This window comes from Homo sapiens, chromosome 9, assembly GCF_000001405.40.
Source record: "Homo sapiens chromosome 9, GRCh38.p14 Primary Assembly".
Lineage (NCBI taxonomy): Eukaryota > Metazoa > Chordata > Mammalia > Primates > Hominidae > Homo > Homo sapiens.
This window is the reverse complement of record NC_000009.12, coordinates 17,363,943-17,380,913: the sequence shown is the minus strand read 5'-3', so window position 1 is coordinate 17,380,913 and position 16,971 is coordinate 17,363,943. Positions and strand designations below refer to the sequence as shown.

The window sequence follows — 16,971 nt, the reverse complement described above, 5'->3', positions numbered from 1 at the left end:
GACACATGGAGCAGAAGTGGACTTGACTTGCAGCCTGAAACAGAGCTGGACCAGAAAACCTGCAGCAGTAAGAGCTGTTTCAGCCAACACACAGACCTATATGCAATAAATAAATGCTTGCTATTGTTTATGAATGAGTTTCCCCATCTGCTTGTTTCTTGCATTGTCTGATACACAAGCCCTCAACTTTCAATGACGAACATGGTAAGAAATGGTTTGTGAACATATTCATGCACTTGTGACTCAGTAAAGACTGAGGAATCTAGCTCCTGGCCAAACCTTACATGTGATTTGTCAGGCTTGGTCATAGGTAATTACAAAGGTTTTACCTGGCACACCTCATGGGGGAAAGCTGCCCTCCCCAACCAGACTTGTTGTACGTCAATGGACTGCAGTCTCTGAAGGGAGTTACACTCAAGGACACAGGTCCTGGTCAAGGACACTAGTTTCCCTGGCCAATCACACTGTTACACACGTATCTGTATCTCTACCACAGGTGTCTCAATATGGAGGCATTTTTATTGGGGGCCTTTGGCTGAGGCTTGCTTAGGTGTTTCTCGAGAAACCTCCTTAGGAGACTGGGAGGAGGCAGTAAACTTGAAGATACTTGTCCTCGTTCTGACTCATTCTGACTTTATACTTTTCCTCTCCCAACCATCCTCCCATACCCTCCCCCAATGCCTCAGGTCTATCACATGGCAAGAAACTTTTGTTTGAGGATCCACTGGCAATGAGACAACCCTCATTTCTATGTTGATCCACTTGACCAATGGGGGAAAATAAAATATGGGGAGCTGGCACTTTCTCCCCTTTAGCCTCTTGCTTAAACTATCTCAGTAATTAATTAAAGGTGGCTGTAACTTTCATTTTGGTTTGTTCTCTTCGAGCAGCTATTCATACACCTGGCATTTCAGCTGTCTCCAGTTCAGCTAAGCTCTTGACAGAGGTATTGTGGGATTCTATTCAAGACCCATTACGTTATAAATTGCAATTTTCAGTAAAGAGAAATTTAGCATGGTAGGGGCTTAAGGTATTCATTTGGGAAGACTAGAGGAGACTGAATTCATTTGAGGGAAAAGGCAATGAGTTTTTTTGGATGACATGCTTAACTTTTAAGATACTTGTAAAAGCAGCCAGAAGGAAACAGGTGTCAGAAAATAGGAAATATATATTTGGAACATGGAAAAAGTTTTGGGATTTAATCTAGAGAAAACATGTTCAATAAGAAGAAAAGTAAGTTAGAGGGAGCAGATTTTCCCTTCTATATGGAGCAACTAAAAACTAGACAAAATGTATGAAAAATGGTTTTTAGATACTGGGCATCAGACAATGTCATCCCTGAGAGAGGGCAACAAATGAGGTGAGTTCTTTAATTACCCCAGCTTACTGCTTACAGAGAGCTTCCAAGCTACAGCACAGAAACAGAAAACCTAAATGTAGTCCAGTAATCTTCCTAAATTAAGGAGACATACCCTGGGTTCCAGGGAGGTCAAGTGAGCTAGAGTTTGCAGGGCAAAGTGTCATAGAGGAGAGATCTACTCAGATACAGGGAGAGCTCTGAAGATGTACAGACCTGAGAACCTTAAGTCTTCAGCCAAGTACTAATCAGCACATGCATTTAAGGAAACTACCCAAGTTTAAGAGAAAAAAAAAACATCCAAAAGGATTAGAGAAAACTTAGAGGAAACAAACTGCAAAGCTCATACAGGTGCAGTAGTAGTTTATGCTCTGACTAGCCGAGGGAAAAAAGTGGGGCACGCTATACTAACGTGAACAAAGTAAGAATGACAGCAGAATTCTTATCAGAAACAATTCACACCAGAAGACAGTGGAGTAATTAACTGCTAAAGAAAAAAAAAAATCTGTCAATGTAGCATTCTATACTTACTGAAAATACCTTTCAAAATGAAGAAAAATAGGGATTTTTTCAGGTGTATGACAGCTGAAAGAATTTCACTACCAGCAGATGTGCACTCTAAGAAATATTAAAGAAGTCCTTCAGGCAGAAAGAAGATAACACCAGATGGAAATATGGATCTACAGAAAGGAATGAAGAGCAGCAGAAATGGTTCTCAGCAAAAAACACTGAGAACTACCAGGCCTGGTTAGATCCAACACACTCTGCTGAAGCCAGACAACAATTTGAAATCCTGGGTCACCCCTTCTACAATAGAAAACACTCTGTAGTTGGTGGAGCAAAGTGTACATTTAACAAAATACCGATTTTGAATCCAAATTGTAAAAGAAAAGCCACAAAGGAAGAAAAGAACTTACCAAAAACCTGAATTTAATAAAATACAAGCTCAGAAAAGAAATAATAAAACATCCAAAAATAAAATAAGAATTTGAAGAATTGAGACAATAAATTGAAAACAACAACAATAACAAAGAACATTATTACAGATTAAATAGAAATGTAAGAAAGAACAAAAGAAGGCCGGGTGCGGTGGCTCCCACCTGTAATCCCAGCACTTTGGGAGGTCAAGGCATGTGGATCACGAGATCAGGAGATCGAGACCATCCTGGCCAACATGGTGAAACCCCATCTCTACTAAAAAAATACAAAATTAGCTGGGCATGGTGGTGCATGCCTGTAATCCTAGCTACGTGGGAGACTGAGGCAGGAGAATTGCTTGAACCAGGGAATCGGAGGTTGCAATGAGCCAAGATTGTGCCACTGCATTCCAGCCTGGTGACAGAGGAAGACTCCGTCTCAAAAAAAGAACAAAAGAACGATAAAACATGGCTAAAAATTGAATTACTGATGAAGGAAAGTCTTGAGATAAACTGGATGCAGAAGACAAAAGATTAAAGAATTGTTAAGAAAATAGATATGAAGGCCGGACAAAAAATAATCTAACATAAAGACAACTTCCTTGATTTAGAGTATAAAAAGTGGAATAGAAAAGTATGCAAAAATATATGCAAAAGAGAAATCCTTGGAACAAAGTAATATTTTAATTGACAATAAATGCATAGGTATTTCAGGAATATGTGATCTAGAACAAATTATATTGACATATTCTATTTAAGTTTTTGAATATCAAGTTGAAAAAAGTAAATTTTCAGGCATCCACTTAGCAAAGGCAAGTGACATCCACAGCAGGGGTGATACAGGGGAGGTTGGGGAATTCAGACACCTCTCTGTAACACATCCTCACAGCAACCACTGATTCTATAAATGAGTAACATCTAGAAAGTTCTGAGGAAAAAAGGGTGTAACCCAATAAAATTATACCCAGCCCATTTAATCCCTGTTGAATCATATTCTCAAACATCTAGGTTCTTACAAATATGGCTACTTTCATTCCTTCTTGAAAAAAATGCTTGTTTTTTGTTTTTTGTTTTTTTGACACAGAGTCTTGCTCCTTCACCCAGGCTGGAGTGAAGTGGCGCCCAGGCTGCAGTGCAATGACGCAATCTTGGCTCACTGCAACCTCTGCCCACTGTGTTCAAGGGATTATCCTGTCTCAGCCTACCAGGTAGCTGGGATTACAAGCACGCACCACTACGCCCGGCTAATTTCTGTATTTTTAGTAGAGAGTTTTGTCATGTTGGCCAGGCTGGTCTCAAACTCCTGACCTCAGGTGATCCACCTGCGTCGGCCTGCAAAGTGCTAGGATTACAGGCGTGAGCCACCGCGCCTAGTAATACTTTGAATTTTATCTGGCTAATCAAGAAACATACGAAAAGAAAGAATTCATAAATAGAAAAGCCATGGCTTTTAAAAATGTGATGAGTACTGAATTCGTTATATAGAGAGACAAGACTTTAAAGCTGAGGAAATTATTCTTGTAATATATAAAGTTACAGACTTTGGTAAAATTTTTAAAAAGAAATTTAATGAACAAAACTCAAGATGAGGAGGAAACAAAAAACTTTTACAAAAAAGTTTTGTAAAAATTCTGGGTTTTCCATCTTGCATAGCAAGGTGTTAATTTCTTTTTGTAATTGTTTTTAATCTTAAAGAAATTAATTCTTTTGAAGCAAACATTTATTTAAAGTTTACAGTTCATTTACCTTTACTTCTGTTTCTCTTCATTTAGTTGGCTCCAAATAAATATAATAAATGTAAATCTCTTTTTCAAAAATATGACACTCTTTTTATATAATTAGTCTACCCATCTAGCCTTCTCCGTATCTGGCCATTAAGAGATGGTTATGGCCGGGTGCGGTGGCTCACGCCTGTAATCCCAGCACTTTGGGAGGCCAAAGTGGGCAGATTACGAGGTCAGGAGATCGAGACCATTCTGGCTAACATGGTGAAACCCCGTCTCTACTAAAAATACAAAAAATTAGCCGGGCAAGGTGGTGGGCGCCTGCAGTCCCAGCTACTTGGGAGGCTGAGGCAGGAGAACGGCGTGAACCCGGGAGGCGGAGCTTGCAGTGAGACGAGATGGCGCCACTGCACTCCAGCCTCAGGGACAGAGCGAGACTCCGTCTCAAAAAAAAAAAATTAAAAAATTTAAAAAAAAGAAAAAGAAAAAAAAGAGATGGTTATATGATAATATTAAAAATTTTTATCTCTAACATGTTGTGAACTAGTTTTTTCTTTGCTTTCTTCTTTTTTCTTTCTTACTGCTCGAATGTAAGTATGTATAATTTTTCAAAAAAACATAAAGTCATTAATTTTGAAAAGTAAACCAAGGATAAAGTCTTAGCAAACCCTAGTTATTAAGAAGTAAATGAAAAACTGTTCCACTGAAAGAGACGGGAAGATAACAGCAAGAGTAGGACATAAAATGAGACAATGTGATTCAGAAGCTGATAAAGAGATAAGCTTGAAATATGATAAAAATTAAAGGTGTTAAATGGAGGGGTTCAAATATTGGCCTTAACAAGTCACCAGTAACCTGAATGCGAGCATTGGAGCAACAACAGTAACTGGGACAAAAGCCAAGTGAAGGGTATATGAAAACTAATTATTAAGTATAAATTGTCAAAACCTAAAAGTACAGTGGTTAGAATGTAGCAGGTTAAACAACAAAAAATCCTGTCATATCAATCTTTAATTTTTCTAATGAGGTACTGAAGTTATATACGAAATATAGTTATCTTGGCTTTAATAAAGAGATAATCCTCTTGCAATTTGAGCAGTGAGACATTCCCCGTTACTGGTCATATTTAAGCTAGCTGTCAGGGAGGTTGCAGATCTGAAGATCTCCAAATTTCCTTCTAACTCTAAGATTTTGATTCCAGGAAAAAAGATACGAACTAAATAATTTCCCAAAAAATGTAATGCCTAACCAAAATATTAACGAATTATTGATATTAAGCATAACACTATAGTACCTACAAAACTGTAAACAAACAAAACTAGGAAAACTTTATCAATGAATAATAAAAATGAGTATCATTTATCCTTATAAAATAATCTCTAGAATTTTTGTGTGTGGGTACACAGTAGATGTATCTACAGGGTAGATGACATGTGATACACAGGCAATGCATAATAATCATATCAGGGTAAATGGGGCATCCATCACCTCAAGCACTTAACTTTTACATTACAAACCAACCAACAATTAAATTATTTTTTAATAGTCACCCTGTCATGCTAGCAAACGCCAGGTCTTATTTGTTCTTTCCAACTATTTTTTTTGTAATCCATTAATTATTCCCACTTCCTCCAACTACCCTTCCCAGGCTCTGGTGACCATCCTTCTACTCTCTAGCTCCATGAGTTCAATTGTTTTAATTTTTAGCTCCCACCAATAAGTGAGAACATGTGAAGTCTGTCTTTCTATACCTGGCTTATTTCACTTAACACAATGACCTCCAATTTCATCCATGTTGTTGCAAATGACAAGATTTCAATTCTTTTATGGCTGAATAGTACACCATTGTGTGTATGTACCACATTCATTTTATCCATTCGTCTGTTGATGAACATTTGGGTTGCTTCCAAATTTTGGCTATTATGAATAATGCTGCAATAAACATGGGAATGCAGATATCTCTTCAATATACTGATTTCCTTTCTTTTGGGTATATAACTAGCAGTGTGATAGCTAGATCATATCACAGCTCTACTTCCTTTTTTTTTTTTTCCTGAGATGGAGTCTCACTTCTGTCACCCAGGCTGGAGTGCAGTGGCATAATCTCGGCTCACTGAAACCTCCAACTCCTGGTTCAAGGGATTCTCTTGTCTCAGCCTCCCAAGTAACTGGGATTACAGGTGTGTGTGCCACCACACCCCTCTCATTTTGTATTTTTAGGAGAGATGGAGTTTCACCATGTTGGCCAGGCTGGTCTCAAACTCCTGACCTCAAGCGATCCACCCACCTCAGCCTCCCAAAGTGTGGGATTATAGGTATAAGCCACTGCACCCAGCCTATTTCTAATTGTTTGAGTCAATTCCAAACTGTTCTCCATAGTAGTTGTACTAATTTACATTCCTTCCAAGAATATATGAGAGTTCCCTTTTACCCACATCTTCCCCAGCATTTGTTATTGCCTGTCTTGTGGATAAGAGCCATTCAGGCTGGGATGAGATGATATTTCATTTTAGTTTTGATTTGTATTCTCTGATGATCAATAATGTTGAGCATTTTCATATATCTATTTGCAAATGGTATGTCTTCTTTTGAGAAACGTCTACTCACAGCTTTGGCCCATTTTTTAATTGGATTATTAAATTTTTTCCTACAGAGTAGTTTTTAGCTGCTTATATATTCTGGTTATTAATCCCCTGTTAGATGGGTAGTTTGCAAATATTGTCTCCCACTCTGTGGCTTGTCTCTTTGATTTGTTGATTGTTCCCTTGCTGTCCAGAAGCTTTTTAGCTTCATGTAATCCCATGTGTCCATTTCTGCTTTGGTTGCCTGTGCTTGTAGGATATTACTCAAAAGATCCTTGCTCAGTCCAACATCTTGGACACTTTCCCCAATGTTTTCTTTTAGTAGTTTCATAGTTTGAGGTCTGAGATTTAAGTGTTTAATCCATTGTGTTTGATTTTTGTATATGGCAAGACATAGGGGACTAGTTTCATTCTTACGCATATGAATATCTTGTTTTCCCAGCAGTATTTATTGAAGAGACTGTCCTTTTCCCAATGTATGTCTTGGCAACGCTGTCAACAATTAGTTTATATGGAGGTATGAATATATTTCTGGGTTGTCTGTTAGGTTCTATTGGTCTATGTGTCAATTTTCATGCTGTTTTAGTTACTGTAGCTTTATAGTACAATTTAATTTAAGAAATGTGATTCCTCTAGTTTTGTTCTTTTTGTTTACAATAGCTTTGGCTATTCTGGGTCTCTTTTATTCTATATAAATTTTAGGATTGTTTTTTCTGTTTCTGTGAAGAATGTCATTGGTATTTTTATAGGGCTTGCATTAAATCTGTAGATTGCTTTAGGTAATATGGTCATTTTAACAATATTGTTAACAATTTAACAATCCATTAAAAGGGGATGTCTTTCCATTTTTTGTGTGTCTCCTTCAATTTCTTTCATCAATATTCTATAGTTTTTATTGTAGGAAGATTCTTCACTTCTCCGGTTAAATCCTAGGTACTGACTTTTAGGTGTAGCTGCTGTAAATGGAATTAGCTTTCTTGATTTCTTTTTCAGATTGTTTGCTGTTGGCATATAGAAATGATACTGATTTTTGTATGTTGATTTTGTATCCTCCACTTTACTGAATTTGTTTATCCTTTCTAATAGTTTTTTTATGGACTCTTAAGTTTTTCCAAATACAAAATCTTATCATTGGCAAATAAAGATAATTTGACTTCTTCCTAATTTGGATGCCCTTTCTTTCTTTCTGTTGTGTGACTGCCCTAACTAGGACATCCAGTACTATGTTGAATAACAGTGGTGAAAGTAGGCATCATGGTCACGTTCCAAATCTTAAAGGAAAAGCTTTCAGTTTTTCCTGATTCAATATGATAACCAGCAATAGCTCTGTCCTATATGCCTTTTATTATCCTGATGTATGTTTGTTCCAATGAAACCAGTTTTTTGAGAGATTTTCTCATGAAAGAATGTTGAATTTCACTGAATGCTTTTTCAGGACTAAGTAAAATGATCCTATGGTTTTTGTCCTTCATTCTGTTGATAATATGTATCACATTGATTAATGTCCAAATGTTGAACCATCCTTGCAACCCTTGGATAAATCCCACCTGGTCATGATGACTAATTTTTTAATGTGTTGTTGAATTCAGCTTGCTAGTATCTTGCAGAGGTTTTTTCTGCATCAATGTTCATCAGGGATATTGAACTATAGTTTCCTTTTTTTGATGTGTCTTTGTCTGGTTTTGGTATCAAGCTAATACTGGCCTTGTAGAATGAGTTTGAAAGTATTCCCTCCTCTTCTACCTTTTGGAATAGCTTGAGTAGGATTGGAGTTAGTTCTTCTTTAAATGTCTGGTAGAGTTCAGCAGTGAAGTCACCAGGTCCTGGTTGTTTCTTTGCTGGGAGCCTCTGCATTATGGCATCAGTGTCTTTACTTATTATAGTTCCGTTGAGGCTCTGGATTTCTTCATGGTTCAATAATCTTAGTAGGTTGTATGTGTATAAGAATTTATCCATTTCTTCTAGATTTTCCAATTTATTGGCATATAGCTGATATGAATTTGGCATATAGTTGGTGATAGTAGCCACTAACAATGCTTTAAATTTCTGCAGTATCTGTTGTAATGTCTACTTTTTCACATCTGATATTTATTTGTGTTCTCTTTTTCTTAGTCTGGTTAAACGTTTGTAAATTTTGGTTAGCTTTTTGATAAACCAATTTTTTGTTTTAATGATTTTTTCATATTGTTTTATTCATTTTAATTTTATTTATCTCTGCTCTGATCTTTACTACTTCTTTTCTTTTACTAATTTTGGGTTTGATTAGCTCTAGCTTTTCTAGCTCTTCAAGATGCATCGTTAAGTTATTTGAAATTTTTCTTCTTCTTTGATGTAGGCATTTATAGCTATAAACTTCCCTCTTAGTATTGCTTTTGCTGTATCCCATAGGTTCTAGTATGTTGTGCTTCCATTATCATTTGTTTCAAGAAATTTTTAAATTTCCTCCTTAATTTCTTCATTGACACACGGGTCATTCAGGAGCACATTGTTTAATTTCCATATGTCTGCAGAGCTTCCAAAATTTTTCATGTTATTGATTACTAGTGCTATTCCATTGTTGTCAGGTAAGATGCTTGATATTATTTCAAGTTTTTTGAATGTTTTAAGAGTTGTTTTATGGCTTAACACACAGTCTGTCCTCGAGAATGATCGATGTGCTGGGGAGAAGAATGTGTATTCTGCAGCCATTGGATGAAATGTTCTGTAAATATTAGCTCCATTTGGTCTACAGTACAAATTAATTCCAATGTTTCTTTGTTGATTTTCTGTCTGGAAGATCTGTCCAATGCTGAAAGTGGGATACTAAAGCCTGCAGCTATCATTGAATTAGGGTCTACATTTCTCTTTAGCTCTAATAATATTTGCTTTATATATCTGGGTACTAGCGTGTTGGGTGAATATATATTTACAACTATGATATCCTCTTACTAAATTGACACCTTTATCATTATATAATGACCTTTGTCTCTTACAGTTTTTGCTTGAAATCTATTTGGTCTGATATAAGTATAGCTACTCCTGCTCTTCTTTGGTTTGTACTGGCATGGAGTATCTTTTTCCATTTGTTTATTTTCAGTCTATATGTTTCTTTATAGATGAAGCGTTTCTTATATACAACAGAGAGTGGCTCTGATTTTTACATCCTTTCAGTTACTCTGTGTATTTTGATTACAGAGTTTAGTCCATTCACATTCAATGTGATTACCAATAAGTAAGAACTTACTCCTACCATTTTGTTGTTGGTTTCCTGGTTATTTTGTGGTCTTCTTTTCCTTCCTTCATTCTTTCTTGTTTTCCTTGTAGTGAAGGTAATTTTCTCTTACCTTTTCTCCTAAAATAAAACGAAAATTTTATTCCTTTCTTTTTATTTTTTGCGTAGCCACTGTATGGTTTTTGATTTGAGGTTACAATGAATGTTGCAACCCATTATATATATGGGATATAACTATCTTATAACCCATTATTTTAACTGGATTAACAACACTGCTTGCATAAACAAGCAAAAACAAAACTGATAAAAATTATTTAACTTTGTCCAGCCTGTTTTTAACTTTTTGTTGTTTATATCTTATTATACTATGTCTTGAAAACTTTTTATAGTTATTTTTTGATTGGCTCATCTTTAAGTCTTTCTACTTAAGAGTAGTTTGTATACCACTGTTACGGTATTACAATATTGTATGTCATTCTGTGTACTTACTATTGCCAGTGACTTTTGTACCTTCAGATGATTTATTACTCATTAATATCCTTTTTCTGATTTAAGTATTCCATTTATGACTTCTTGTAGGATAGGTATGGTGTTGATGAAATCTCCAGCTTTTGTTTGCCTGTCAAAGCATTTCTCCTTCATGTTTGAAGGATATTTTTGCAGGATATATTATTCCAGGGCAAAAGTCTGTTGTTGTTTTTTCCTTCAGCACTTTAAGTATGTCATGCCACTATCTCCTAGCCTGTAAAGTTTCCACTGAAAAGTCTGCTGCCAGCATATTGAAGCTCCATTGTATGTTATTTGTTTCTTTTCTCTTGCTGCTTTTAGGGTCCTTTCTTTATCCTTGACCCTTGGGAGTTTGTTAAATGCCTTCAGGTTGTCTTTTTTGGGTTAAACCTGCTTGGTGTTCTACAACTTTCTCATAGTTGAATATTGTTATCTTTTGCTAGGTTTGAAAAGTTCTCTGTTATTTTCCCTTTGAATAAACTTTGTACTCCTGTCTTTTTCACTAACTCCTGTTTAAGGCCAATAACTCCTACATTTTCCCTTTTGAGGCTATTTCATTAATCTTGTAGGCATGCTTCATTGTTTTTTATTCTTTTATCTCCTCTGTGTATTTTCTTTTTTTTTTTTTTCGAGATGGAGTCTCGCTTTGTCACCAGGCTGGAGTGCAGTGGCGTGATCTCGATTCACAGCAACCTCCGCCTCCCGGGGTCAAGCGATTCCCCTGACTCAGCCTCCCAAGTAGCTGGGATCACCGGCATGTGCCACCATGCCTGGCTAATGTTTGTATTTTTAGTAGAGACAGGGTTCCACCATATTGGCCAGGCTCATCTCAAATTCCTGACATTAGGTGATCCTCCCACCTCAGCCTCCTAAAGTGCTGGGATTACAGGCATGAGCCACCACACCCGCCCTGACTATGTATTTTCAAATAGCCTGTCTTCAAGCTCACTAATTCCTTCTTCTGCTTGATCAATTCTGCTATGAGGGGACTCCAGTGCATTTTTCATTCCAGAATTTCTGCTTGATTCTTTTTTATTTTTTCAATCACTTTGTTAAATTTCTCTGATAGAATTCTGAAATCCTTCTCCATGTTATCTTGAATTTCTTTGAGTTTCCTCAAAACAGTTATTTGGAATTCTCTGTCTGAAAGGCTACATATCTGTTTCTGCAGTATTGATCCCAGGTGCCTCATTTCGTTTGTTTGATGAAGTCATGTTTTCTTGGTATATTATCCTGTTTTCATACTTCTATAAGGAACTGCTCAAGACTGAGTAATAAAGGAAAGAGATTTAATTGACTCACAACTCAGCATGGCTGGGGAGGCCTCTGGAAACTAATAATCATGGTGGAAGGTGAAGGGGAAGCAAGGCACCTTCTTCACAAGGCAGCAGGAAGGAGAAGTGCCAAGCGAACGGGGAAAAAGCCCCTTACAAAACCATCAGATTTCATGAGAACTCACTCACTATCATGAGAGCAGCATGGGAGAAACCACCCCCATGATTCAATTACCTCCACCTGGTCTCTCTTTTGACACGTGGAGATTATGGGGATTATAATTCAAGATGAGTCTGGGGTGGGGACACAAAGCGTAACCTATCACTTGGATAGTCTTGATCCTTATGGATGTTTGCTGGTGTCTGGGAATACAAAAGTTAGATATTTATTTTTGTCTTTGCAGTCTGGGATTGTTTGTACCCAATCTTCTTGAGAAGATGGGTACAAAGATGCTAAGGCAGTAGGATTGATTCAGCCCAAGACTTTCCGGTATTTGAAAGGACTTGGGTGTTGTGATCTAGTCCATATCTGCATTAGTGGGCACCCCAAGTCCAGTAAGACTGGGGTTCTTGCCGACTTCTAGAACTACTGCCTGGGCAGTCTTGGATAAGATCCGGAAGAATTCTCTGGATTACCAGGCAGAGACTCTTGTTTTCTTTCCTTCTCCCAAACAAACAGAGTCTCTCTCTCTTTGCTGAGCCTTCTGGAGCTGGGGATGGAGTGACAAATGCACCCCTGTGGCCACCACCACTGGGACTATGCTGGGGGTCAGAACTGACACCAGTATATCCCTGAGTCTCACCCAAGGCCCACTGTAACCACTATCTGGCTTCCACCTATGTTTGCTCAAGGCCCTAGGGCTCTGCAAAGAGCAGACTGTGAAGCCAGTCAGACTTGTGTCATTCCCTTCAGGGTAGCAGGATCCCTCCAGCCCTGGGTGGGTCCAGAGATGCCATCTAGGAGCCAGGGAGTAGAGTAAAAAACCTTAGAAATCCACCTGGTGTTCTAGTCCACTGCAGCTGAGCTGGCACTCAAACCACCAGACACAGTCCTTCCCACTCTTCCCTTCCCTTTCCACAGGCAAAGGAGTCTCTGCCTGTGGTCACCACCACCACAGTCCTACAGGGAGTACTACCAGGCCACTGTCAATGTTCCTTAAAGCCCAAGGGCTCTTCAGTCAGCTTGCCACAAATGCTGCCAGGCCTGGGACTCACCTTTCAGTGCAATGGGTTTCCCTCTGGCCCAGGGCAGGTCTAGAAATGCCAACTAAGAGCCAAAGCCTGGAATCAATGACCCCACAAGCTGCTTGGTGTTCTACTTCATTGTGGATGAGCTGGTACCTAAGGTGCAAGACAAATTACCCTTTACTTTTCCCTCTGCTTTTCTCATGCAGGGGTTTCTCACCACAGCCACCACAGCTGGGGATGCCCTGGGTTTCACCTGAATCCAGCACATCTCAGAGTCTCAGCCAAGACCCACAGTGTACCATCTGGGTATTGCTGCTGGTTATTCAGGGCCCAAGGGCTCTTCAGTCAGTAGGTGATAGATCCTGCCGGGACTGCATCCTTGCCTTCAAGGCACCAGGTTCGCTTCTAGCCCAGGATGTGTCTAGAAATGTCATCCAGGAGCTAGGGCCTAGAATAAGGGTCTCATAAATCTAACTAGCGCCCTATCCTATTGTGGCTGAGCTGCTGTCCAAGATGCAAGACAAAGACCTATTTGATCTTTCTTCTCTCCTCCTCAAGCAGATGGAAGGGGTTCCTTTCAGAGCCATGAGCTGTGCTGCCAAGGGTTGGGAGAGCAGTGGCACAAATACCCCATGAGCTGCCCTGGCTGGTGTCTCAGTAGGTCACATGCCACCCAAGTCCACTGGTCTGAGCCCAACTCTGCACTAGGGCTTGCCTAGGAGTTGAAGTCATTGTGGCCTAGACAGTCTTTTAAGTTTATATAGAGCCCCAAAGTCCTGTGGTAATGAGGCTTGCCAGAACTCAGGTTCCAACCACTGGGATGGGTGATTGTCCTCTGGACAGGTCTGGTCTAAATGCTCTTTCTGTGGGCAGGCATGAGATGCATTTGGCCCGGTTTTGCTCTCTGCTATGACAGGGCAAGACCGAGTTCAATGCAAAGTCCAACAGTCACTGCATTCTCCCTCCCCTAAGTGCACAATTCTCTCTCCATGTCACATGGCCACTGCCAGGAGATAGGGGAAGGGTGGCACTGGTAATTTAAGACTGTCTTTCCTACCCTCTTCAGTGCCTCTTTCAGTCATTTGAAGTTAAAACCAGGTACTGTGAGTGCTCACCTGATTTCTGATTCTTATGTAGGTGTTTTTTTTGTGTGTGTAGGTAGTTCTTAAATTTGGAGTTCCCACAGCATAAAGTCTTCTATTTGGCCATCTTGCTGTACGTTCTCCCCTAGATTTTTTAATAAATTACAAAGCTGACTTTTAGATGTTCTATTTATTTAATTTTCTCAGGATGAAAATGTTAGTGAGTTATCAATGAATAAAGTGTTGGAAAAGAAACAAAAAGGGTAAGATTCTTAAAAGAAATTGAAACTAAAACATCAAGAATTACACAATTTTAAAATTCCTCTGTTAAGTATTTATTTTCTGAAAATTTACCTTCTCTTCTCTCTGCCACACATCTATTCAATTCTTGTATTGCTGCCTTATCAATAGATATATGTACTTTAAGTTCATCTAATTCTTCTTCAAGATTCATCCTATGAAAAAGCAATAAACATTTACTTAAAACCATATTGTTTTATTTAAAAAAATCAAACATATACATTTAAATATATTTCTAAATAATATATCAAAGTCAGTAAAGATATTTTAATGTATATAAAATGGAGAAGAGTAAAATGAAAGCAAAAATAAATCAATAATATTCACAGGCTGGGCATGGTGGCTCATACCTACAATTCCAGCATTTTAGAAAGCCAAGGCAAGGGGATCACTTGAGACTAGAAGTTCAAGACCAGCCTGGGCAACACAGAGAGACCCTGTCTTTACAATAATAATAATAATAACAACAACAATAACAACTAGCCCATCATGGTTACGCGCACCTGTAGTCCTAGCTACTTGGGATGCTGAGGCAGCAGGATTAATTCAGCCCAAGACTTCAAGGTTACAGTAAGCTATAATTTCACTGCTGCACTACAGCCTGGGCAAAAGATTAGGCCCTTGTCTCCATAAAATAAAAAATAGTAATAATATGCCCAAATCCAAAAAACTACAATTGAATTTACTGAGGACCTGGAAAATCAAATGTTTTAAGTAAGTTATTTCTGTTAACTTTATCTCAATAAACATGCTAAACACTTAAAATACAGACTATATAATTTTAAAAATTATGTATTAAATTGCTCAACCACTTCTTGGTTGTTTTTAGACAAAGTCTCACTCTGTCACCCAAGCTGAAGTGCAGTGGCACAATCGTGGCTTACTGCAGCCCCTACCTCCCAGGCTCAGGTGATCCTCCCACCTCAGCCTCCTAAGTAGCTGGGACTACAGGTGTGTGCCACCATGCCCAGCTAATTTTTTGTACAATCAGGGTTTTACCAAGTTGCATAGGCTGAACTCCTGGACTCAAGCAACCTACTCATCTTGGCCTCCCAAAATGCTGGGATCACAGGCATGAGCCACAACACCCGCCATGCTCAACCACATCCTAACACAGAGATATTCTAGGCAAAATAGTAATGAAAAATGTTAATACATAACACTGAAAACAAGAATGGTAAATTCCTAGATGCCAAATAAAGGCAAAAAGACTTTCCAGTAAAACAGAATTGAGCTACCATTGTGAGTATTTGACCAGAACCAAATACTGCCCATGGGGACCTCAGAATGTGAGACCTGAGTAGGGATGGTGTATTAGTCTATTCTCACTTTGCTATAAAAAAAACCTCCTGAGACTACGTAATTTATAAAGAAAAGAGGTTCAATTGACTCACAGTTCCACAGACTGTACAGGAAGCATGGCTGAGGAGGCCTCATGAAACTTAACATTCATGGCAGAAGGGGAACAGGAAGCAGGCAGGTCTTACATGGCTGGAACAGGAGGAAAAGAGCACAGAGGGAGGTGCTACACACTTTTAAACAACCGGATCTTATGAGAACTCACTATCAATGGAACAGCAAGGGGGAAGTCCGCCCACATGATCAAGTCACCTCTCACCAGACCCCTCCTTCACCACTGGGGATTACAATGCGACATGAAATTTGGGCAGGGACACAAATCCAAACCATATCAGATGGACATTTAGACCCATGGCCCTACCTGGTTGACAGATAAAAATGAGCTAACGACAGGAAACTGGGAGAAAACAATCTGCTGAATGAAAACCTGAATATCTGAACTTATCTGGTTAGAGTTTCACTAAAATAGTTCTCCAGCCCTAGGATGGGGACAGGACAGAGTCAACCACATGATATCAGAATCCCAAGCCTAAATCAATAGGTTCAAAACTGAGCCATACAATTTACAGAAACATGAACAATCAAAAATAATACAAAAACTGGACATATGGCCAGAGTATACTGGAGGGTTCAGGAAGACACAATCATCCCTAAAGGGAGGCTTCCACAACTAAGAAAATGTATGGGAGAAAAGCCACCACAGAAAATAATTCTCGAGTCAAGCATGGAGACAATAAGTATATAAATAAGTTCAAAGCCATGAATGACAGTCTAAATATCCCACTGCCCAAAATGGGATAATGTAAAACAATAAAATAGAGATAAGAGAATAATCAAAATTACTTTCACCATTAGAGTTTTTAAAATGTTTTTAAAAAGATAAAGAAGTGATAAACATATATTAAAAAAGAACAGGGGTTTATGAAACAGAAAATAGACAAAAATAATCAAATAATATATCTAAAAATATGAAATAAAGCAATGAAAATTAATAATAATAACATAATACCAGAAATTTAAAACTCAATGGATGGGTTCAATAGCAAGTAGAAAAAGCTAATGGAAATTGATAAAATGGAAGAGAGCAGAAGGAGGTAAAGGAAGGAAAACAGTAGAGGTATACAAAACATGTTGCAATAAGAAGTATAGAAAGCATTTAATAGAAATTATTCAAGGAGAGAATTGAAAGACTGAAGGCAGGAGTACAGATGGGAGATAACAGTCAAAATATTAATAGCTCAGGATTTGAGAACTGATGAAGATATGAATTAATAGCCTTAAAGAGTATCAAAAAATTGCAAGAAGAGTAAATAAAACTCTGTTCACACTTAAAAATGTCTTAGTGAAACTTCAGGACAACAAAGATAGAGACAATCTTTAAATGAACCAGATTGAGAAGAAAACACTTCTAACAACTAAAGATCTCTGGAATAACAGCAGAGTTCTCATATCAACAAACAAAGCCAGAAG

The 16,971-nt window shown here is 38.2% G+C and overlaps 1 protein-coding gene across 20 annotated transcripts in view; it reads right to left on the bottom strand.

The window, feature by feature from the left end:
• The window catches only part of CNTLN (centlein), a 393,595-nt gene that overhangs the window by 147,721 nt on the left and 228,903 nt on the right, over positions 1–16,971 (bottom strand). For 17 of the 20 annotated variants that reach the window (XR_007061321.1, XR_007061322.1, XR_929282.3 and 14 more), the window contains one exon: positions 14,197–14,297. The exons of 1 other annotated variant lie outside the window; for it this stretch is intronic. Coding sequence is in view for 15 of the 19 variants with exons in the window: in XM_017014839.2 (XP_016870328.1) it covers positions 14,197–14,297 (101 nt within the window). In the remaining 4 variants the exon portion in view is untranslated. 2 more of the 20 variants (XM_047423522.1, XM_017014847.3) reach the window with 2 other exon arrangements.